The 25,245-nt window shown below is 39.5% G+C and overlaps 1 protein-coding gene across 1 annotated transcript; it reads left to right on the forward strand.

Moving 5' to 3' along the window:
- The first annotated feature begins 4,482 nt into the window (after nt 1-4,482).
- SPINT4 (serine peptidase inhibitor, Kunitz type 4) lies at nt 4,483-7,966 on the forward strand. Its single transcript, NM_178455.3, has 3 exons — nt 4,483-4,618; nt 6,016-6,193; nt 7,765-7,966. Exons 1-3 carry the CDS (start codon nt 4,504-4,506, stop codon nt 7,769-7,771), a joined length of 300 nt encoding a protein of 99 aa, NP_848550.1. The 5' UTR covers nt 4,483-4,503; the 3' UTR covers nt 7,772-7,966.
- Nucleotides 7,967-25,245: the final 17,279 nt, after the last annotated feature.

A 25,245-nucleotide genomic window follows, 5' to 3' on the forward strand; every position in this document is an offset into this window, starting at 1 on the left:
AGCCCAGGACCAGATGGATTCACAGCTGAATTCTACCAGGGGCACAAAGAAAAGCTGATACCAGCCAGGCACGGTGGCTCACATCTGTAATCCCAACAATTACACATCTGTAATACCAGCCAGGCACGGTGGCTCACATCTATAATCTGTAATCAGAGGCTGAGGCAGGTCTCTACTAAAAACACAAAAACTAGCTATGCATGGTGATGCATACCTGTAATCCCAGATACTCGGGGGGCCTGAGACAGGAGAATCGCTTGAACCTGGGAGGCGGCGGTTGCAGTGAGCCGAAATCACACCACTGCATTCCAGCCTGGGTGACGGAGTGAGACTCCATCTCAAAAAAAAAAAAAAGAGAAAAGAAAAGAAAAAAAGAAAAGCTGGTACCATTTCTACAGAAACTATTCCAAAAAACTGAAAAGGAGGGACTCCTCCCTAACTCATTTTATGAGGCCAGCATCATCCTGATACCAAAACCTGGCAGAGATACAACAAAAAAAGAAAACTTCAGACCAATACCCCTGATGAACATTGATGCAAAAGTCCTCAATAAAATACTGGCAAACCAAATCCAGCAGCACATCAAAAAGCTTATCCACCATGATCAAGTTGGCTTCATCCCCAGGATGCAACATTAGTTCAACATATGCAAATCAATAAATGTGATTCATCACATAAACACAGCTAAAGACAAAAACCACATGATTATCTCAATAAACACAGAAAAGGCCTTCAATAAAATTCAACATCCCTTCATGTTAAAAATGCTCAATGAACTAGATATTGAAGGAAAATACCTCAAAATAATAAGAGCCATATATGACAAACCCACAGCCAATATCATACTGAATGGGGAAAAGCTGGAAGCATTCCCCCTTGAAAACTAGCACAAGAAAAGGATACCCTCTCTCATCACTCCTTATTCAATATAGTATTGGAAGTTCTGACCAGGACAATCAGGCAAGAGAAAGAAATAAAGCACATTCAAACAGGAAGAGAGGAAGTCAAATCATCTTTGTTTGCAGATGACATAATCCTAGATGTAGAAAACCCCATCGTCTTAGCCCAAAAGCGTCTTAAACTGATAAGCAACTTTAGCAAACTCTCAGGATACAAAATCTGAGTGCAAAAATTGCTAGCATTCCTATATACCAAAAACAGGCAAGCAGAGAGCCAAATCATAAATGAACTCCCATTCACAATTGCCACAAAAAGAATAAAATACCTAGGAATACAGCTAACAAGTGAAGAGCTTCTTCAAGGAAAACTACAAACCACTGCTCAAGGAAATCACAGAGGACACAAAAAAATGGAAAAACATTCCACACTCATGGATAGGAAGAATCAATGTTGTGAAAATGGCCATACTACCCAAAGTAATTTATAGATTCAATGCTATTCCCATTAAACTACTATTGACATTCTTGACAGAATTAGAAAAATCTATTTTAAAATTCATATGGAACCAAAAAAAGAGCCTGAACAGCCAAGACAATCCTAAGCAAAAAGAACAAAGCCAGAGGCATCATGTTATCCAACTTCAAACTATACTACAACGCTACAATAACCAAAGCAGCATGGTACTGGTACAAGAACAGACACATAGAAAAATGGAACTGAATAGAGGGAACTAAGAAATAAGGCTGCACATCTACAACCATCTGATATTCAGCAAACCTGACAAAAACAAGCAATGAGAAAAGGATTCCCTATTTAATAAATGGTGCTGAAAAAAGTGGCTAGCCACATGCAGAAAATTGAAACTGGACTCCTTCCTTATACCACATACAAGAATTAACTCAAGATGGATTAAAGACTTAAATGTAAAACCCAAAACTACAAAACCCCTAGAAGAAAATCTAGGCAATACCATTCAGGACGTAGGCATGGGCAAAGATTTCATGATGAAAACACCAAAGCAATTGCAACAAAAGCAAAAATTGACAAATGGGATCTAATTAAACTAAAGAGCTTCTGCACAGCAAAAGAAACTATCATCAGAGTGAACAGACAACCTACAGAAATGGAGTATATTTTTGCAATCTATCCGTCTGACAAAGTTCTAGTATCCAGAGTCTACAAGAAACTTAAACAAATTTATAAGAAAAAAACAAACAATCCCATTAAAAAGTGGGCAAAGGACTTGAACAGGCACTTCTCAAAAGAAGACATATATGTGGCCAACAAACATATGAAACAAGGCTCAACATCGCTGATCATTAGAGAAACGAAAATCAAAACCACAATGAGATACCATCTCATACCAGTCAGAATGGTGATTATTAAAAAGTAAAAAAAAAAACAAAAAACACAGATGCTGGAGAGGTTGTAGAGAAAAAGGAACACTTTTACACTGTTAGTGGGCGTGTAAATTAGTTCAACTATTGTGGAAAACAGTGTGGAGATTCCTCAAAGATCTAGAGGCAGAAATACCATCTGACCCAATAATCCCATTACTGGGTATATACCCAAAGGAACATAAATCATTCTATTATAAAGACACATGCATGCATATGTTCATTGCAGCACTATTCACAATAGCAAAGACATGAATCAATCCAAATGCCCATCAATGATAGACTGGATAAAGAAAATGTGATACTGAAATATATATATATACACACACACACCATGGAATTCTATGCAGCCATAAAAAGAAATGAGATCATGTCCTTTGCAGGGATATGGATGGAGCTCGAAGCAGTTATCCTCAGCAAACTAACACAGGAGCAGAAAACCAAACACTGCATGTTCTCACTTACAAGTGGTAGCTGAATGATGAGAACACATGGACACATAAGTGGAACAACACACACTGGAGCATATCATGGGGGTGGTAGGGAGAGGGAGAACATCAAGAAGAATACCTGGTGAATGCTGGGCTTAATACCTAGGTGTAGGGATGATCTGTGCAGCAAATCACCATGGCACACATGGTTTATGTATGTAACAAACCTGCACATCCTGCACATGTACCGCTGAAATTAAAATAAAAGTTGAAGATTTTTTTAAAAGATAGCATTTACAATAATATTAAAAATATAAATAAGATTGTAACACCTGCATGAGAAATGTCATAAACCTTTCTTTAAAATATTAATGAAGGTCAAAATAGATGGAAATATATATATCAAAGACAATATTATAAGGATATCATTCTTTTCCAATTGATTTGTAGATCCAGTGCAATTCAAATGAATATCCAAAATAGGTGTTTTGTTTTTGTTTTTGTTTTTGTTTTCGTTTTCGGTCAGAGTCTTGCTCTGTCACCCAGGCTGGAGTGCAATGGCACAGTCTCAGCTCACTACAACCTCTGCCTCCCAGTTCAAGCAATTCTCATGCCGCAGCCTCCCAAGTAGCTGAGATTACAGGAACTCACCACCATAACCAGCTAATTTTTGTATTTTTAGTAGAGACGGGGTTTTGCCATGTTGACCAGGCTGGTCTCCAACTCCTGACCTCATGGGATTCACCCACCTCAGCCTCCCAAAGTGCTGGGATTACAGGCATGAGCCACCACGCCTGGCCCGAAACAGGTCTTTTGAATAACTTGATAAACTGACTAAAATTTATATGAAAATACAAAATCCTAAGATAAACAAAGTTCAAGAGATTAAGTGTGGCTTTGGAGTGGGGGTATACAGTGGAGTGAAATAAAGGGCTCAGAAGCAATCCCACATAATTAAGCAAAATTATTTTGCAGTTAAATAGAAGAGGAACTCATTAATAAATAGGTCTGGAACCACTGAAAAATGAAAAAGGATCCTTATGTTATACCTTACCAAAAAATCAACATCAGGTGGTTTTAGGGTGTAAAGGTAAGCCAAAACTTCAAAACTTTTAGGAGAAAACAGATCCAAGATGTCCTCATGTTCCTAGATAACATAGTGTAGTGTGACTAAGAACAAAAACTCTGAAGCCAAGTTCAAATCTTGTCTCTACCACATAATAAATGAGTGACCTTGTACATGTAACCTAATCTCTGTCTCCATTTCATCCTTAAATGATGGTAATAACTGTACTTACTTCATAGGGTGTATATGATGATAAAGTATATACAAATTACTTAAAAATAGCACCTGGAATTAAGTAGTACTCTAGGTTATAACTAACCCTGTTACTATTATTATAGTGCTATTGCACTCTTTCTCTTGTGCCATGATTAGTTTCTTCTGTGCATAAAAGGTCAAAAAGAGAAAGGAAGAAATCCCTTTTTAATTCCTCACTCTGATGATTCTACCCTTCATGATTAAATATATGCAGAAGCTCTGATCCTTAAGTTTCTATTGCTTCTAGATGAACATGGGACTCACTATCAAGGGTCTAATCAGTTTGGGGCCTTCAGCTTCATGGCTGGGTACCCAAGCACTCACTGTTCAACTCAACACCTAGTAATGTCCAGTCCTGGCCCTTGGGGTAGGTGAGCTCAACCGTCTCAAGTATCAAGCCCAAAATATAACATCAGGTGATACCACAACTATCCTGCCTGCTGCTTGCTGCACCATGAAGTCTGCCAAGCTGGGATTTCTTCTAAGATTCTTCATCTTCTGCTCATTGAATACCCTGTTATTGGGTGGTGTTAATAAAATTGCGGAGAAGATATGTGGAGACCTCAAAGGTATGAAGCTAAGGCAGAAAATAAATCCAAAGGTCAATTATGAATGAGAGAGAAGGTATTGGGAGAAAAGTGTGTTATCTAGGTAGTCCAGGAAGGTCTTCCTTTCATGACAATACCCATAGACACTTAGTCCCTTGACTCAGGGCATTACTTACACTAGGGGTCCTCTGGATGTTTGATGAGAAAAAACAGAAATGACACAAAGTCCTTTCCAGATGGAGACCTCTTTTATAGGAGGTCCAAAGGACTGGAAGTATTTTGAATCAGAGGTTGTGTGACAAATTTCAAAGATCCCAGACCATTGATGATTATGTATTGGGATGAGAGAGAAAGGGGGTTGGAGACAGAGCAAATTAAGACATTTTCAGTATCTGGGCTATGGACATATACAGAACTCTTGGACAGATGATTCCTGTTTAGAGGAGCTCACAATGTAAATGTGAGAGGCAATGAGACTTTCTTCCATAGATAGTGTGTGAAGGCTCAGCGCTTCCAGGGGACGAGAAAGTAGCACAGTTTATACCGTAAGTCAGACACTTCAAGTTCTGGACCTGTTCACTTAGCAGATATGTGCCCTTGGACAAGTCACTCAACCACTTATTATTCTCTTAGTCTCAGTTTCCCCATGTGTAAAATGAAGATCAGAAAAGTGCCTGCTGCAGAGGGTGTTTGTGAGTATGAAATAAGATTATGCACATAACTTTACCAGAGAGTAAATTCCAGGCTGGCTGCTTGAGTAAGGTGGATTGTCAATACAACCATGATTGTGGCTGTTCCAACCACTTACTACCCAACTCTTAACAATAAAAACAGAGGGTTTGCCTCTGAGAAGGCAAGAAAGGAGAAGATGACGGGGTATGAGGATGAACGAGCATCACCCCAAGGTTATGCATTTTAGCATTTTAGTATGCATCCTGCTTTAAAGATAGCAGCAGCCATGGTTACTTAAATTTTGAAGTATAGGTAGTATAGTGAATGTATGAAACTGGGGAGGAGGCACTCTGAATTGCATGTCCTATGTGGGCAATTAAAAGGAAAGGAAGATGATGTGGGGAAGCAGGAGGATACTGTACTTTAATAAACTGTAAGATAGGAAATGTAGGGAAGCTCATCGCCCTGCACAAGCTAGTGGTGGAACCTCCTTTTTCACTGATCACTACTTCTCCTTCTCCAATACACTGCTCACGACAACAACCTGGAATTTTAACCAATTTGCATTGTGCAAGGGCAACATTTCCAAGCAACTCTAACTCCAAGAGAAAACCACATCTTTCAGAGTCCTTGAATATGAGAATAGTTCCAGGCTAAACGTAGGAATTTTTAAGGGCCCATAAAGACAAGTTCTCCTGCTGAGTCCTTACCAATTCCCACTAACTCAATGGGAACCTCTCATGCAGATCCCTGCAAATTGGACATGAATTTTGGAAGCTGCTATGAAGTTCACTTTAGATATTTCTACAACAGAACCTCCAAAAGATGTGAAACTTTTGTCTTCTCCGGCTGTAATGGCAACCTTAACAACTTCAAGCTTAAAATAGAACGTGAAGTAGCCTGTGTTGCAAAATACAAACCACCGTAAGGAATCTAATCCTGTCCTTGGTCCTTGGGGGTAGTAAAAGAAGAGGTTTTGACATCCTAAGATAGAGAAAATTGATCAGGGGCTAACCTTGCTTGGAGTGGGAAGAGGGAGGATTGCTCAAATAAGAAGTTTTAACAGTTGGGTTGGCCGGGCGCAGTGGCTCATGCCTGTAACCCCAGCACTTTGGGAGGCTGAGGTGGGTGTATCACCTGAGGTCAGGAGTTCAAGACCAGCCTGACCAACATGGAGAAACCCCATCTTTACTAAAAATACAAAATTAGCCAGGCATAGTGTCGCATGCCTGTAATCCCAGCTACTCGGGAGGCTGAGGCAGGAGAATCACTTGAACCCGGGAGGGTTCAAGAAGTTCAGAGGGTTCAGAGGTTGCGGCGAGCCGAGATCGCGCCATCCATTGCACTCCAGCCTGGGCAATAAGAGCAAAACTCCATCTAAAAAAAAAAAAAAAAAAAAACCACATTTGGGTGGGCTGTCAGGATCATTTGCTCATTTTGCAGTTAGGAAATCAAATGCCCAGAGAGAAAATAATAGCCACCATCTATTGGACAATTACTGTGTGTCAGGCACTGCACTAAGCAATTAACATATATTGATATAATTTAAAATTATATCAAGGTAGGGCCAGGCGTGGTGGCTCACGCCTGTAATCCCAGTACTTTGAGAGGCCGAGGTGGGCGGATCACAAGGTCAGGAGATCGAGACCATCCTGGCTAACACAGTGAAACCCCGTCTCTACCAAATATACAAAAAATTTGCCAGGCGTGGTGGCAGGCGCCTGTAGTCCCAGCTACTCGGGAGGCTGAGGCAGGAGAATGGTGTGAACCCGGGAGGCGGAGCTTGCAGTGAGCCAAGATCATGCCACTGCACTCCAGCCTGGGAGACAAAGTGAGACTCCATCTCAAAAAAAAAAAAAAAAATATATATATATATATATATATATATATATATCAATAGATATATATCATTATTTTTATGTGACAGATGAAGAAACCAAGTACAGTACAAGTAACCAAGCATCTCGAGGTCACATTATTAAATGGCACAGCAGGGTTTCTAACCAGAGCTGACAGTCACAATGGTCTTGACAATCTTACATGGACAAGGTCACCCAAACCAAATTCTTGCACTCTCATACCTTTGAACTCTTCATAGCAACTTGCTGCTTTATACAACTAAGCTCCCAGCCCATGCTTGACTATTTCCCAATCATTGGAAATAGAAGGTCAATGGTGCCTAACAGGGCTGTGGTTTGGCTGATTCCCAGGAGAACTGGCTGGAGAGTGGCCTTGGGAGTAACTAGAAAGCAGAAATGTTGTTTTGTTTATTTTATATTCCTAGTGGATCTTTTCAGTGCCTGGCACATACTAAGCAATGATTAAGTGTTAAGTGAATGAAAAAGTGAAAGATTAATCAATAAAATAAGGGAAACATTGAGATAGAAGGCATCCTCTGTGCTTTCCCTAGGATAAAAAATGACCTGCATTAATCCAGGGAGACCTTCAAAAACCTGTAACACCGATTTGGGTTTTTCTTTCCTTTGCTTAAACAGGAGGTGAGAGGATGTGAACTCATGAAGTTGTCTGCTGCACCATCCGAAATAAAGACACAAGAAAATTCAGACTGATTTTGAAATCTTTGTAATATTTCCATAATGCTTTAAGCTTCCATATGTTTGCTATTTTCCTGACCCTAGTTTTGTCTTTCCTGGAAATTAACTGTATGATCATTAGAATGAAAGAGTCTTTCTGTCAGCCCTGGCTCTCTTAATTTCTCTCCACTTGTCTTATCTGGATTTGCAGAGCTGAAATGTCAGCTGGTCCCATCCATTGATTTCCCCCTCACTCCTGAGCCATCCCTTACATATGCACACTTAGCTTCATTTATCCTAAACTGCTAAACTGTTTCAGGTTTGACAAGTCTGTACAGGTTTGCATCACCTCCCCTGTCAAATTGAACTGGTTAGTGGAACCAAAGTACCAAACCTATACTCCCTTTTGATCTTGAAATCAAACCTAGCAGCGAACTGCACACTTATGTGAAATGTCCCTGCACTCATAACAAATTTTTCTTTGTCGTGTTTCCTGATTCAAGTCCCTCAATTAGTTTAATTACCTCCCAACCTGGTCCCTGTTTAGGAGTAATTATATGGACCTCTGTCATTGCTATTTGACTTGATTATAGTCAGTCCTTCTGGAAAAGAATCCTCAACTTCAGTCCAGTGACTGTGTTTCAGCTACCAAAAAATGATTATCCAAACACAGGTTCCCAAATCTTCTGCATATAATGCTACAAGGTTTGGCATGGCCATGATCAGCCTAGCTGTAAGATTTACAAGTTGACCACTTCACCTCTGAATTTTTTCAGGCATCCAAACTGAACCTGCACTGAAGTAGGAAAACCTATCCTGGCACCTGTTATTACCCTCTGCATATCTACCATGTCCATCTTATAGACAAAGCCAATCCCTCACCTGTGAATCACAACCTGGAACAGGGGTAGCTAGGGCCAACATTGTAAACCAGTGAGACCATAACTAGACACACAAGCCTGATCTCTGCTCCATCTTAAGACTAGGAAGATCAATGCCCTAAATTAAGATGCTTTTCTGCAAAAATTCTGGTAACTACAAGATCATACCCTCAACCAGACAGGGTTTATTCTGAGCAGGTAAAGTGCTAATAACCCAGTTGATTCTGGCATATTTCATCTTCAATGAAGATCCTAAAATTATAGATCATTCTTGAGCCCAGCCAGCTGCAAGACCCTAAAATAATAGAGATGAGACTAATCTAATTAGTCCACATACACAGAAGTTCTGAGATTTTCCTGTTATGAATCATGAAACTGGGTGTCCCAGAAGCAGACAGTCTTTCAGGGACAAGATAGCATATTTCGGGAGCCTGTTTGCTTCCTACTTCAGCCAACTCCTTGAAAAGTCAGAGAAGTAAAAAAGAGGTGTACAGATATGAATAAAGTCAAGACTAAGAATCCTCTGAGGAAAGAAGGCAATTGTATCCTGGTGAGAAAAGGAAATAGATGCCCAGGACAGATTGTTGAGCATCAAAAGTGAGATAATGAGTTGAGTAAGAGCTTTTGAGGCTTTCGAGTTGTGTTATTCTCCCCACCACAAAGATCTGGATCAGTCATTGCCTGCTCTCTTGCCAAATCACTAACAGCCACAAAATACCAGATAACATAGTGGTCGTTCCAGAGTCCAGCTAGAGAAGTATAAAAGCATAAAAGAAGTGAGAAGCATAAAAACAGGTGCAACTGAGCTAGCCAGACACAGAGTTTACTGTTTTCTCTTCCTCCTATATACAGTAAGGTTTATGTGACTAAAACTAAGAGGAAGAAAGGTTCCTAGAAAATACATCTAGGACAGAAGTGTAGATATTTTCTCTGGTTGGAGGTGGGGGGAGGAAGATAGAGAAATAATGTTATTTAGGAAGAAGCAAATGGAGTAAGGAAGCCCAGGCTGTATCACTGTAAAGTCTCTTCTCTGGAATCATCTACCACCACCACAACCACCCTTGAATCCACCAAGAGCAGCACAAGTTAAAAAAGTTGGGCTTTGGGGAGCTAAGCTATTAAAGTGCAAAGGCATAAGAAGAAGGCTGGGCTCAGTGGTTCTAGCCTGGATTCCTAGCAGAAACCACTGCTCAAGGAAATCAGACAGGAAATAAAAAATGGACAAACATTCCATGCTCATGGATAGAAAAAAATCAATATTGTGAAAATGGCCATACTGCCCAGAGTAATTTATAGATTCAATGCTATTCCCATTAAACTACCATTGATATTCTTCATTAAATTAGAAGAAAACTATTTTAAAATTCATATGGAACCAAAGAAGAGTCTGAATAGCCAAGGAAATCCTATGCAAAAAGAACAAAGCTGAAGGCATCATGTTACCAGATTTCAAACTGTGCTACAAGGCTGCAATAACCAAAACAGCATGGCACTAGTACAAGAACAGACACATAGAACAATGGAACAGAATAGAGAACTCAGAAATAAGACCACACAGCTACAACCATCTGATCTTTGACAAACCTGACAAAAAAAAAAGCAATGGGAAAAGGATTCCCTATTTAGTAAATGGTGCTGGGAGAATTGGCTAGCCATGTGCAGAAAATTGACACTGGACTCTTTCCCTATACCTCATACAAGAATTAACTCAAGATGTATTAAAGATTTAAATGTAAAACCCAAAACTATAAAAACCCTAGAAGAAAATCTAGGCAATACCATTCAGGATTTAGGCATGGACAAAGATCTCATGGTGAAATTGCCAAAAGCAATTGCTACAAAAATAAATAAATAGCAAAATTAAAAAAGCAATTGCAACAAAAGCAAAAATTGACAAATGAGATCTAATTAAACTAAAGAGCTTCTGCACAGCAAAAAAAAAACTATCATCAGACTGAACAGGCAACTTACAAAAATGGAGTAAATTTTTGCAATCTATCCATCTGACAAAGTCCTAATATCAAGAATCTACAAAGAATTTAAACAAACTTACAAGAAAAAAACAAACAATCCCATTAAAAAGTGGGCAAAGGACATGAACAGATACTTCTCAAAAGAAGATAAAATATGCAGCCAACAAACATATGTAAAAAAGCTCAACATCACTGATCATTAGAGAAATGAAAATCAAAACCACAGTGAGATACCATCTCATGCTAGTTGGAATGGCGATGCTGGAGAGGTTGCAGAAAAATAAGAATGCTTTTACACTGTTGGTGGGAATTCAGTTAGCTGAACCATTATGGAAGACAGTGTGGTAATTTCTCAAAGACCTAGAGACAGAAATACCATTTGACCCAGAAATCCCATTACTGGGTATATACCCAAAGGAATATAAATCATTCTATTATAAAGATCCATGCATGCATATGTTCACTGCAGCACTGTTTCAAGGAATTATTTATTTTCATTCTTAATTTCTTCCTTCACCCATTCAGGAGTATGTTGTTTAATTTTCATGAGTTTGCATAGTTTCAAATGTTCCTCTTGTTATTGATGTCTAGTTTTATTCATTTTGGTCATATAAGATACATGATATGATTTCAATTTTTTTTATTATACTTTAAGTTCTAGGGTACATGTGCACAACGTGCAGGTTTGTTACGTATGTATACATGTGCCATGTTGGTGTGCTGTACCCATTAACTCTTCATTTACATTAGGTATATCTCCTAATGCTATCCCTCCCCCCTCCCCCCACCCCACATCAAGCCCCAGTGTGTGATGTTCCCCTTCCTGTGTCCAAGTGTTCTCATTGTTCAATTCCCACCTATGAGTGAGAACATGCGGTGTTTGGTTTTTTGTCCTTGTGATAGTTTGCTGAGAATGATGGTTTCCAGCTTCATCCATGTCCCTACAAAGGACATGAACTCATCATTTTTTATGGCTGCATAGTATTCCATGGTGTATATGTGCCACACTTTCCTAATCCAGTCTATCATTGTTGGACGTTTGGCTTGGTTCCAAGTCTTTGCTATTGTGAGTAGTGCCGCAATAAACCTACGTGTGCATGTGTCTTTATAGCAGCATGATTTATATTCCTTTGGGTATATACCCAGTAATGGGATGGCTAGGTCAAATGGTATTTCTAGTTCTAGATCCCTGAGGAATCGCCACACTGTCTTCCACAATGGTTGAACTAGTTTACAGTCCCACCAACAGTGTAAAAGTGTTCCTATTTCTCCACATCCTCTCCAGCACCCGTTGTTTCCTGACTTTTTAATGGTCGCCATTCTAACTAGTGTGAGATGATATCTCACTGTGGTTTTGATTTGCATTTCTCTGATGGCCAGTGATGATTAGCATTTTTTCATGTGTCTGTTGGCTGCATAAATGTCTTCTTTTGAGAAGTGTCTGTTCATATCCTTCGCCCACTTTTTGATGGGTTTTTTTTTCTTGTAAATTTGTTTGAGTTCTTTGTAGATTCTGGATATTAGCCCTTTGTCAGATGAGTACTTTTTGTTACTTGTTTCATGTCCTAACATATGATCAGTCCTGAAGAATGTTCCACATGCCAAAGAAAAGAATGTGTATCATTCAGTTACAGGATGAAATGTTCTGTAAATGTCTGTTAGGTTCATTTGGTCTATGGTACAGTTTTAAACCAAAGTTTTTTTGTTGATTCTCTGTTTAGATATCTGTCCAATGCTGAAAGTGGGGTGTTGAAATCCCCAGTGATTATTGTATTGGGGTCTATCCCCTTAGATCTAATAATATTTGCTTTATAAATATGAGTGTTGTGGTATTGGGTGCATATACAATTATTTTATCTTACTAAATTGATTCCTTTATTATTATATAATGTCCTTCTTTGTCTACAGATTTTTACTTGAAGTCTGTTTTATCTAAGTAGAGCTATTCCTTGCTTTTGTTTCCCTTGGCATGGATTATCTTTTTCCATTCCTTCACTTCAGTCTATGTGTGTCTTTACAGCTGAGGTGAGTTTCTTGTGGGCATCATATAGTTGGGTTTTGTTTTTTATCCATTCAACTAGTCTAAACCTTTTAAATGGGGAAATTAATTAATTTACACTCAAGGTTATTATTGATAGGTGAGAACTTACTCATCTTTTTTTTGTTGTTTTCTAGTTCTTTTTTTTTTTTTTTTTTCTTGAGACGGAGTCTCACTCCATCACCAGGCTGGAGTGCAGTGGCACGATCTCAGCTCACTGCAACCTCCGCTTCCCAGGTTCAAGCAATTCTCCTGCCTCAGCCTCCTGAGTAGCCGGGATTACAGGCACGTGCCACCACACCCAGCTAATTTTTCTATTTTTAGTAGAGACTGGGTTTCACCATGTTGGTCAGGCTTGTCTCGATCTCGTGACCTCGTGATCCACCCGCCTTGGCCTCCCAAAGTGCTGGGATTACAGGCATGAGCCACCGCGCCCAGCCTTTCTGGTTCTTTTATAGTTCCTTTGTTCCTTACTTTCTCTCTTATTATTTTTGCAGGTAGGTGGTTTTCTGTAGTGGTAAGATTTGATTCTCTTTTTCCTTTGTGTATTGGCTCTTCTAGTGAGTTTTATCATTTTATGTTTTCATGATGGTGGCTATTGTCTTTTCACTTCCAGATATAAGACTCCCTTGAGCAGTTCATGTAAGACCAGTCTAGTAGTAATGAATTCTTAGTTTTTGTTTGTCTGTGTAAGATCTTATTTCTTTTTTTTTTTTTTTTTTTTTTTTTTTTTGAGACAGAGTCTTGCTCTGTCGCCCAGGCTGGAGTGCAGTGGGGCGATCTCAGCTCATTGCAAGCTCTGCCTCCCAGGTTCACACCATTCTCCTGCCTCAGCCTCCTGAGTAGCTGGGACTACAGGCGCCCGCCACAATGCCCACCTAATTTTTTGTATTTTTAGTAGAGATGGGGTTTCACCGTGTTAGCCAGGATGGTCTTGAAGATCTTATTTCTTCTTCATTTTTTTTTTTGACAGGCTCTCATTCTGTTACCTAGTCTGGAGTGCACTGGCACAATCATGGCTCACTATAGCCTCAACCTCCCAGACTCAACCAAATCTCTCACCTTCTTTTGGCTAGCTGGGACTACAGGCACACACCATCATGCCCAGATAATTTTTTATATTTTGGTAGAGACAGGGTCTCACTATGTTGCCTAGGCTGGTCTTGAACTCCTGGGCTCAAGTGATCCTCCCACCTCAGCCTCCCAAATTACTGGGATTACAGGCATGAACCACGACATTCAGCCTCTCCTTCATTTCTGAAGGATAATGTTGCTGGGTATGATATTCTTAATTGGCAGAGTTTTATTTTTATTTCAGTACTTTAAATATGTCATACCATTTTCTCCTGACCTGTAAGGTTTATGCTGAGAAATATGATAGTCTAATGGAGATTCATAGCTAATGGTAATTCCCCTATATGTGACTTAATGCTTTTCTCTTGCTGCTTTTAAAATTCTTTCTTTGTCTTTGACTTTTGACAAGTTAACTATAATGTGCCTCAGAGAGGACCTGTTTGGGCTGAATCAATCTGGGGTTCTTTGAGCTTCCTGGACCTGAATGTCCATCTCTCCCAAGACTTGGGAAGTCTTCTGACATTATTTTATTAAATATGTTTTCCTTACCTTTTCCCTTTCTTCTCTTTCTGGAACACCCATAATATGCATATTGTGCACTTAATGGAAAATGGAATTCCACAAATCCTGTAGGCTTTCTTCATTCTTTTTTTCTCTTTTCTTTTTTAATCTGCCTATGTTATTTCAAAAGTCCTGTCTTCAAGTTCAGAAATTCTTTTCTTCTGCTTGGGCTAGTCTGTTGTTGAAGCTCTCAATTGTGTTTTTTATTTCATTCATTGAATTCTTCAGCTCTAAGGTTTGTTTGGCTCTCTTTATGATATCTATCTCTTCATTGAATTTCTCATTCAAATAATGAATTCTGTTCCTAATTTTGTTGACTCATCTATCTGCATTCTCTTATATCTCACTGAGTTTCCTTAAGATTATTATTTTTAATTCTTTTTTAGCATGTCATATATTTCCTTATGCTTAGGGTCTGTTATGGAAGAATTATTGTTTTCCTTTTGAGGTAACATGTTTCCTTGGTTTTTCATGGTTGATGTGTCCCTACATTGATTTCTATATATCTGGTAGAAAAGTTGCCTCTTACAATTTTATAGAGTAGGTTTTGTAAGGAAAGACTTATTCATTTTCATAGGTATTGACTCAGTGGAGTTCATTGGCCTTGGTTCTAGGTGGATGCAGTAGTATAGTATCCATTTAGTTTCTTCTACCTTAGTCCACACTAATAGTGTTTGTGAATTTCTCAGCGGCCTAGGCTAAGAGAGTTTGTGATAATAGTAGTGAACTTTGCCAGAAATGGGCTTTCTAGGCTTTTCTCAGGTGGGGAGTGCATGTGTGTTTCTCAGGTGGGTCAGCCAAATTGGGGTTGGGGCCACAGAGCTGTTATTCTGGCTGGGAGCACTGGCATGCAGTTGCTCAGTCAATCTGGACGTGTGTCTGCCAGGAGCAACCCACAGGGCTGTTTCTCAAGCCCAGCATATGGGTGTACAGCTGCTTGTAAAGGAGTCTTTACTAAAAGAACAAATCACCTAGCTGACCTATGGAGTGATTCCCTTCAAGCATGGTAACAAATCAGTGTCTTAGCAAACTAGATAGTCAGAAGGTGGAAGTCCCTCTTGTTAAACTTATACAAAATTTACAGCCTAAAATTCCTTGAAACAAATTTTCCAATCTTTCTTCTTCAAAATACTTTATGACATGGGCAGACCCTTATCCACTGCCCAAAAATCTGTTGCCCCCACCACATGAAATGAATGAGGACAAGTTCATTTGGGCTTGTTTGGGCTGTTATAACAAAATTCAGTAGATTGGATGGCTTATAGGCAATAGAAATTTCTCACAGTTCTGAAGACTGAGAAGTCTAAGATCTAAGATCTAGGTCTAAGTATAAAATCAAGGTACCAGCAGATTTGAGATCTGGTAAGACCAGAACTATTTCTTAGTTCATAAATGATAACTTCTCCCTGTGCTCTCACATGGTAGAAGGGGTAAACAAGCTCACTTAGGCTCATTTTAGAAGGGCACTAATCCCATTACTTAGGGCTCTGACCTCATGACATAATCACCTCCCAAAAAGTCCCATCTCCTAATACTATCACCTTGGAGTTAGGATTTCAACATATGTATTTGAGGGTATATGAACATTCAGAGCATCGAACTAAGAGTATAAAGTTTAAATGTTCTCACCACAAAAAAACTACATGAGGTGATAGATATGTTAATTATTTTGACCATAGTAATCACTTTGCAATGTGTATATGTATGCATGTGTGTATATAGTATATATATATATACACACATATATATTAAAACATTACATTGTACACCTCAAATATATACAATTTTTATTTGTCAATTATACTTCAATACAGTTGGGGGAATTAAAAAATAAAGTTTCAAGAGAAAAAAGAATTTATCTACTTAATACAAAACCATGAGTAGTATACAAAAGGTTCCAGGTACCAGTCATAAATAACAATTTTAAAATGGCTCAACACCCTTTCATGATAAAAAAAAACTCTCAACAAATTGGGTGTAAAAGGAATATATCTCAACACAATAACGGCCATATATGACAAGTCCTCAGGAAACATTATACTAAACAGTGAAAAATTGAAAGCCTTTCCTCTGAAATCCAGAACAAGACAAGGATGTCCATTCTTCCTACTTCTATTCAACATATTATTGAAAGTCCCAGCCAGAGCAATTAGTCAAGAGGGAAAAAAGGGCATCAAATAAGAAAGGAACAAGTAAAATTGTTGGTATTTGCTGATTACACAATCTTATATATAGAAAACCCTAAAGATTCCACCAAAAAACTGTTAGAACTAATAAATGAATATGGTAAAGTTGTAGGATACAAAATCAACACAAAAAGATCATTAGCATTTCTATACACTAATAATGAACTATCCAAAAGAGAAAACAAAAGAACAATCCCATTTATAATAGCTACTAAAGAATAAAATAATCAGAAATAAATATAAACAAGGAGATAAAAGACCTGTACATGGAACCCTATAAAACATTAATGAAAGAAATTAAAGAAGACACAAATAAATGGAAAGATATCCCATGTTTATGGGATGGAAGAATTAATATCGTGGAAATATTCATCTACCCAAAGCAATTTACATAGTCATTGCCATCTCTATCAAAATCCCAATGTCATTCTTCACATAAATAAGAAAAAAATCCCAAATTCATATGGAACCACAAAAAAAATAGCCAAGGCAATCATGAGGGAAAAAAAAAAAAAAAACGTAGAGGCATCATACTACTAATTTCAAACTATACTACAAAGTGATAAAAATGGCACTGACATAAAAATAGACACATTGACCAATAGAATAAAGAGTGCAGAAATGAACTCATACATATACAGTCATTTGACATTCAACAAAGGTGCCAAAAATACACAATAGGAAAAGGAAAGTCTCTCCAATAAATGGTGTTGGGAAAATTGGATATCCAAATGTAGAAGAATGAAATTGGACCCTTATCTCACACCATATACAAAAATGAACTAAAATGGGTTAAAGACTTATACACATAATGGGAGGCAGAGGTTGCAGTGAGCTGAGATCATGCCACTGCACTCTGGCCTGGGCAACAAAAGCAAAACTCTGTCTCAAAAAAAAAAAAAGACTTACACAGAAGACCTGAAACTGTAAAACTACTACAAGAAAACAGAGGGGAAAAAAACTACAGGACATTGGTCTGGGCAATGATTTTTCAGATTTGGCCTCAAAAGCACAGGCAACAAAAGCAAAAATAGACAAATGGGATTACATTAAACTAAGAAGCTTCTGCACAATAAAGGAAACAACTAACAGAGTGAACAGATGCTCTACAGTTTCGGAGAAAATACCTGCAAGCCATGTATTTCATAGGGGGCTAATATTCAAAATACATAAGGAATTCAAACAACTCTTTAGCAAGAAAACAACCCCATTTAAAAAATGGACAAGGGACCTGAATGTTTCTCAAAAGAAGACACACACATGGCCAACAGATATACAAAAAAAAAGCTCAATGTTCCTAACCATTAGAAAAATGCAAATTAAAACCACAATGAGTATCATCTTGAGAGGTGACAACATGCTGGTGGCCCTCGCTCGCTCTCAGTGCTATCTTGGCCTCGGTGTCTGTTCTGGCTGTGCTTGAGAAGCCCTTCAGCCTGCAGCTGCACTGTGGGAGCCTCTCTCTGGGATGGCCGAGGCTGGGGCTGGCTCCCTCTGCTTGCGGGGTGGTGTGGAGGGAGAGGCACGGGCAGGAACCAGGGCTGCATGTGGCACTCGTGGGCCAGCGTGAGTTCCGAGTGGGTGTGGGCTCAGCAGGCCCTGCACTTGGAGTGGCCGGCCGGCACCGCCGGCCCTGGGCAATGAGGGGCTTAGCACCTGGGCCAGCAGCTGCAGAAGGTGTGCCGGGTCCCCCAGCGCTGCCGACCCACCTCCGCTGCACTCAAATTCTCGCTGGGCCTCGGCCGCCTCCCCATGGGGCAGGGCTTGGGACCTGCAGCCCACCATGCCTAAGCCCCCGACAGTGGGCTCCCACATAGCCGGAGCCTCCCTGATGGGCACCGCCCCCTGCTCCATGGCTCCCGGTCCCATCGACTGCCCAAGGGCTGAGGAGTGCGGGCGCATGGCGCGGGACCGGCAGGCAGCTCCACCTGCGGCCCCAGAGCGGGACCCACTGGGTGAAACCAGCTGCACTCCTGAGTCTAGTGGGGACTTGGAGATCCTTTATGTCTAGCTAGGGGATTGTAAACACACCAATCAGCACTCTGTGTCTAGCTCAGGGTTTGTGGATGCACCAATCGGCACTCTCTATCTAGCTAATCTGGTGGGGACTTGGATAACCTTTATGTCTAGCTAAGGGATTGTGAATACACCAATCAGCACTCTGTATCTAGCTCAAGGTTTGTAAATGCACCAATCAGCACTGTGTGTCTAGCTCAGAGTTTGTAAATACACCAATCAGCACTCTGTATCTAGCTAATCTAGTGGGGACATGGAGAACTTTTGTGTCTAGCTCAGGGATTGTAAATACACCAATCAGCACCCTGTCAAAATGGACCAATCAGCTCTGTTTAAAACAGACCAATCGGCTCTCTGTAAAATGGACCAATCAGCAGGATGTGGGTGGGGCCAGATAAGAGAATAAAAGCAGGCTGCTGGAGCCAGCAGTGGCAACCGGCTCAGGTCCCCTTCCACACTGTGGAAGCTTTGTTCTTTCACTCTTTGCAATAAATCTTGCTACTGCTCACTGTTTGGTCCACACTGCCTTTATGAGCTGTAACACTCACCACAAAGGTCTATAGATTCACTCCTGATGCCATCGAGACCACGAACCTACCGGGAGGAATGAACAACTCCAGACATGCCGCCTTAAGAGCTGTAACCCTCACCACAAAGGTCTGCAGCTTCACTCCTAAGCCAGCGAGACCACAAACCCACCAGAAGGAAGAAACTCCAAACACATCCAAACATCAGAAGGAACGAACTCTGGACATGCCGCCTTTAAGAACTGTGACAGTCAGGCCAGGCGTTGTGGCTCATGCCTGTAATCCCAGCACTTTGGGAGGCCAACGTGGGTGGATCAAGAGGTCAGGAGATCAAGAACATCCTGGCTAACACAGTGGAACCCCATCTCTACTAAAAATAGAAAAAAATTAGCTAGGCGTGGTGGCACACACCTGTAGTCCCAGCTACTCGGGAGGCTGAGACAGGAGAATCGCTTGAACCCAGAAGGCAGAGGTGGCAGTGAGCCGAGATCGCGCCACTGTACTCCATCCTGGGTGACAGAGCGAGACTCTGTCTCAAAAAAAAAGAACTGTAACAGTCACCGCGAGGGTCTGCGGCTTCATTCTTAAAGTCAGTGAGACCAAGAACCCACCAATTCCGGACACAATCTCACACCTGTCAGAATGGCCATTGTCAAAAAAATGAAAAATATCAAGTGTTGGCAGGATGCGGAGAAAAGGAAACCCTTGTACACTGTTAACAGGAATGTAAATTAGTACAGACATTATGGACAACATTATAGAGGCACCTCAAAAAATTAGAATAGAATTAACCTATGACCCAGCAATCCCACTTCTGGGTATTTACTCAAAAGATTGAAACCAGTATGTTGAAGAGATGTCTGCACTCCTATGTTCATTGCATCGACTATTCACAATAGCCAAGTTGTGGAATCAGCCTAACTTTCCATCAACAAATGAATGGATAAAGAAAATGTGTGTTTAGTTATGTACAATGGAATACTATTCAGCCCTTAAAAAGAAATTCATCCTGCTCAACCTGGTCCTAATGCTGCCCTGGCTGCTCAGCTGACCTCCTTTTACCTTCTGATACCTGGATATCCCTCTCCTGTTCAGCCCCACAGTTCCCAACAATTTGGTTCCTGCTCCATGATCAGCATTTTCAATAAACCAGACACTCCAGAGAAAAAAAAAAAAAGAAAGAAATTCAGTCAGTTGTGACAACATGGGTGAAACTGAAGAACATTATCCTAAATTAAAATAAGTCTACACAGAAAGACAAATACCATATGTTCTCACTTACATGTAGAATCTAAAACAATCAAACTCATAGAAGCAGAATTAGAATGGTGGTTACCAGAGGCTGGAGTGTTGGGGGAAATGGGGAGATGATTGTAAAGGGTACAAAGCCTCAGACTAGAAGGATAAGATTTTTTCAAGATCTATTAACACAATGTGGTGAATATAGTTAATAATAGTATATTGTGCACTTCAAAATCACTAAGAGTAGATTTCAAATGTTCTCACCACAAAAAAATAAGTATTTGAGATTATGAATATGTTAATTTGGTTGATTTGATTATTCCAATCAAATCATAAATTATAACATCACTTTGTACCCCATAAATATATACAACAAGCTCGACACAGTGGCTCCTGCCCATAACCCCAGCACTTTGGAAGACTGAGGCAGGAGGATTGCTTGAGCCCAGGAGTTCAAGACCAGCCTGGGCAACATAGTGAGACATTGTCTCTACAAAAAAAAAAAAAAAAAAAAAACACAAAATTAGTCGGGTGTGGTGGTGCCCACCTGTAATTCCAGCTACTCAGGAGGCTGAGGGGGGAGGATTGCTTGAGCCCAGGAGATCGAGGCTAGTGTGAGCCAAGATCATGCCACTGCACTCCAGCCTGGGTGACAGAGCAAGACCCCAAGTCAAAAAAAAACCTATATATAGTTATAGTTTACAAAACTATATATATAGTTATATATAGTTATAGTTTACAAAACTATATATAGTTATATATATAGTTATAGTTTACAAAACTATATATAGTTATATATAGTTATAGTTTACAAAACTATATATAGTTATATATATAGTTATAGTTTACAAAACTATATATAGTTATATATATAGTTTACAAAACTGTATATATAGTTATATATAGTTTACAAAACTGTATATATAGTTATATATAGTTTACAAAATTGTATATATAGTTATATATATGGTTTACAAAACTATATATAGTTATATATATGGTTTACAAAACTGTATATATAGTTATATATATGGTTTACAAAACTGTATATATAGTTATATATATGGTTTACAAAACTATATATGTAACATATACAAGTTATAGTTGCATATATATATATAGATACACACACAACTATAACTTGTCGAAAATGAATTTTTTTTAAAAAGCCCAAAAAATGGCTCAATATAAACAAATCCCAGTGTAGAAAATGCCTCAGTTCCCCGAGATTTACAATAATGATCACAGCCCCCAACTGTCCCATCCTTAATTTTCTCAAGTTTATATGTTTAGGCAACTTAGGGCACTATGAATGGGAAGGACAATTCTACAAGGAAAAGTTGGAATGCTATTATTAGATGTGAAATATACTGATGAGCAGACCTAAACAACTGCTGTTCACTACCTCCCAACCCTTGACTATTCCATGCATATACTCTCTCCTTTCTGTTCATAAATATGTTTAATGCCTTGGTCTAACATCACAAAAAGTACTTACCTACTCCTTAAAGGGAGACAATCGAAAGTCAGCTCCGACTCCTTCAACTGGCTACAAGTATAAAATCTCTAAATGAGCTCTATCTGTATATTACCAATAAATACTGTGAAAAAAGTGGTTAATTATATCATAAACCAACATACCCTATATAAAACAATAAAAGAAATAAAAAATAAATGCTTGAAAAATATTAATGCTACAACACAATGATTAGGAAAATACAGGTAGCTTTATTTGTGCTGTTCATTATAAGCCCGTAATAGCTGACTTGCGTTAACAATCCTCCTCTATTATGCATTTCATACTTTTGTGTTTAGCCAATACCACAAATAAGCTGTGTTCTTTATGTAAAACTTCATTTCTGTGTGATATTAGCTTTTGAGAGAACTGCCTGGGCAGGCTTTACATTTTCCCATCTTTTGGACTTTAATGGCTCCCATTATATTTTACAACTGAGATGGGGTACAATTATATGTATATATTTTTCAAGGTAGCTAAGGTGAAAATTAACCCTATTTTATCTTCACAGTTTCAAAAATTGCAGGCAAACTGTAATACCCATCTTTTGTCAATTTTTTTATTCTTATGAAGAGACTGAAGTGGCCAGATATAAATGTCAACTCTGAATTGAACAGGTCCATTTTTTAATTGCTTGATGAAAGTATTCCCCCATTTAGACACAAAAACAATCAAACCAGTAGAGTGCATAATCATAAGAATGGGAAGCAAAACTATTACAAAGTAGAATCTTAAATACTACCTACACCAACTTGGTCCCCAAACCTATGTGTTTTGACGATGCTACAAAGAACATAAGCTCAGGGCTTATACTGCATACAGCAAGGGAAATCCCCAGCCTTGAAACATAGTTGCATCTTCAACTTTATAAGACAATATGCCTCTAGAGATGGTAATACACTAGGTAAGTAGATACATAAGCACTAATATATTTTCTTACTTCTTGTAGTGGGAAGTAAGTTCCTAAAACAGGCAGGAACAATATAGTATTATTTGCTAAGATGACCATAAGGTATTGGACAAGCCCATCAAAGCTGATATTAACAAGATATGGTGGATGAAAAAAGCAAATCTAATGGGATGATTACAAAATTCTAGGTCAGGCACGGTGGCTTATGCCTGTAATCCCAGCACTCTGGGAGGCTGAGGCGAGCAGATTGCTTGAGTCCAGGAGTTTGAGACCAGCCTGAGCAACATAGTGAAATCCATCCCTACTAAAAATACAAAATTATCCAGGCATGGTGGCACATGCTTGTAATCCCAGCTACTCAGAAGGCTGAGGTGGGAGAATCACCTGAGCGGGGGAGATCAAACCTGCAGTAAGCTGGGATCACACCACTACATTCCAGCCTGGGCAACCAGAGTGAGATCCTGTGTTTAAAAAAAAAAAAAGTATAGGCTGGGCATGGTGGCTCACACACATAATTTCAGCACTTTGGGAGGCTGAGACAAGAGGATCACTTGAGCTCAGGTGGTCAAAACTGCAGTGAGTCATGACTGCACCACTGCAGTCTAGCCTAGGTGACAGAGCAAGACCCTGTCTCAAAAAAAAAACCTGAAAAACATGACATTTTGGACCAGGTAATTTTTTTTTCAAGTTCTGAAGATGAACAGTGGTAAGGAATCCACAACAATGTGAATGTACTTAATGTCACTGAAATGTACACTTTAAAATGGTTAAAATGGTAAATTTGGCCAGGTGTGGTGGCTCACGCCTGTAATCCTAGCACTTTGGGAGGCTGAGGATGGCGATCACCTGAGGTCCAGAGTTCAAGACCAATCTGGCCTACATGGTGAAACCCCATCTCTACTAAAAATTGGGTGGGTGTCATGGCACACACCTGTAATCCCAGCTACTTGGGACACTGAGGCAGGAGAATCACTTGAGCCTGGGAGGCAAAGGTTGCAGTGAGCTGAGATGGCACCACTGCACTCCAGCCTGGGTAACAGAATGAGACGCTGTCTAAATAAATAAATAAATAGGTAAACTTTATGTGATGTATATTTAAGTACAATAAAAAACCGAGTCTAAGTTCATTATAACAGCATAGTAATGAGGAAAAATGTCCCAAATGATCTATTTGGTTCTTTTGTAACATGGGACTAAATTAGTATCATACCAACAAGGACACTTAAAAGTTGAAAGTCACTTGGGTTAAATTTATGCACAGTTTCTGTGTCTAAGACTATGGCTATATCAAGCCCATTACTTGGTTAATGGACTGCCTGAGCAAGAAGATAGATGGAATTTACAGAGTGACATATCTGGTCCATCTGATTATTAAGGATATCTTCTATACTGAGGACCCCTGATAAACAGTTACATGAAACATGAATAATCTCACATTATAGATCCATTTATTCAACAAATTTTTTTTTTTTAGATGGAGTCTTGCTCTGTCACCAGGCTGGAGTACAGTGGCGCGATCTCGGCTCACTGCAACCTCCGACTCCCTGGTTCAAGTGATTCTCCTGCCTCAGCCTCCCAAGTAGCTGGGATTACCAGCACATGCCACCATATCCAGCTAATTTTTGTATTTTTAGTAAAGACAGGGTTTCACCCTGTTGGCCGGGATGGTCTCGATCTCCCGACCTCGTGATCCACCCATGTCGGCCTCCCAAAGTGCTGGGATTACAGGCGTGAGTCACCGCGCCCGGCCCAACAAATTATTCTGTGTGTGTGTGTGTGTGTGTGTGTGTGTGTGTGTGTGTGTGTGTAGACAGGGTTTCACTATGTTGCCCAGGTTGGTCTCCTACCCCTGGGCTTAAGACATCCTCCTGCTTCAGCCTCCCAAAGTGCTGGTATTATAAGCGTGAGCCATTGCACCCAGCTGTCAATAAATTATTCTTGACAAATTAATATGTCATAATAGAATTTCCATTCACATTGTCCTTCTCTAAAACTTGTTCTCACCAACTTTCTAGTCTTACTTATTCCGCTACCCTTGCAATACAAGGTCATTCCAACCACTCCCAAATCCATGAATTAGGCTATCTTTGCTTGCAGGTAAAATAGACAAGAATGCATTTTCCTCAAGTTCTGCCTACTGGGAAATTTTTCATTCCCCGCTGTCCTTCAGGGCAAATGAGTTAAAGCAGCTTGTTTACAATTAGTCCTAAAACACATTTCACTGGAGAACTTGCGCAAACCAGGCAACAATTTTTCCAACATTAGACATCTGGTCTTCAGGAATTCTCAAAGAAGCCATAAGTGTGGATTTCAAATTCTGTGACAACACAACAAAAACGGGATATTTCATGGGCTGGGAATATAATCTACTTGCTCATAAAACTTACTTGCACCTTTAGGGCCATAGTATACCTGGTAAAATGTAGAGTCCTTTTTTTTTTTTTTTTTAATGAACTGCTTATGGGTTCAATGGGTACTCCAAGATTTTCTCAAGCATCTTTCCTTCACAGGCCTTTAC

This window comes from Homo sapiens, chromosome 20 (genome assembly GCF_000001405.40).
Source record: "Homo sapiens chromosome 20, GRCh38.p14 Primary Assembly".
Classification (NCBI taxonomy): domain Eukaryota; kingdom Metazoa; phylum Chordata; class Mammalia; order Primates; family Hominidae; genus Homo; species Homo sapiens.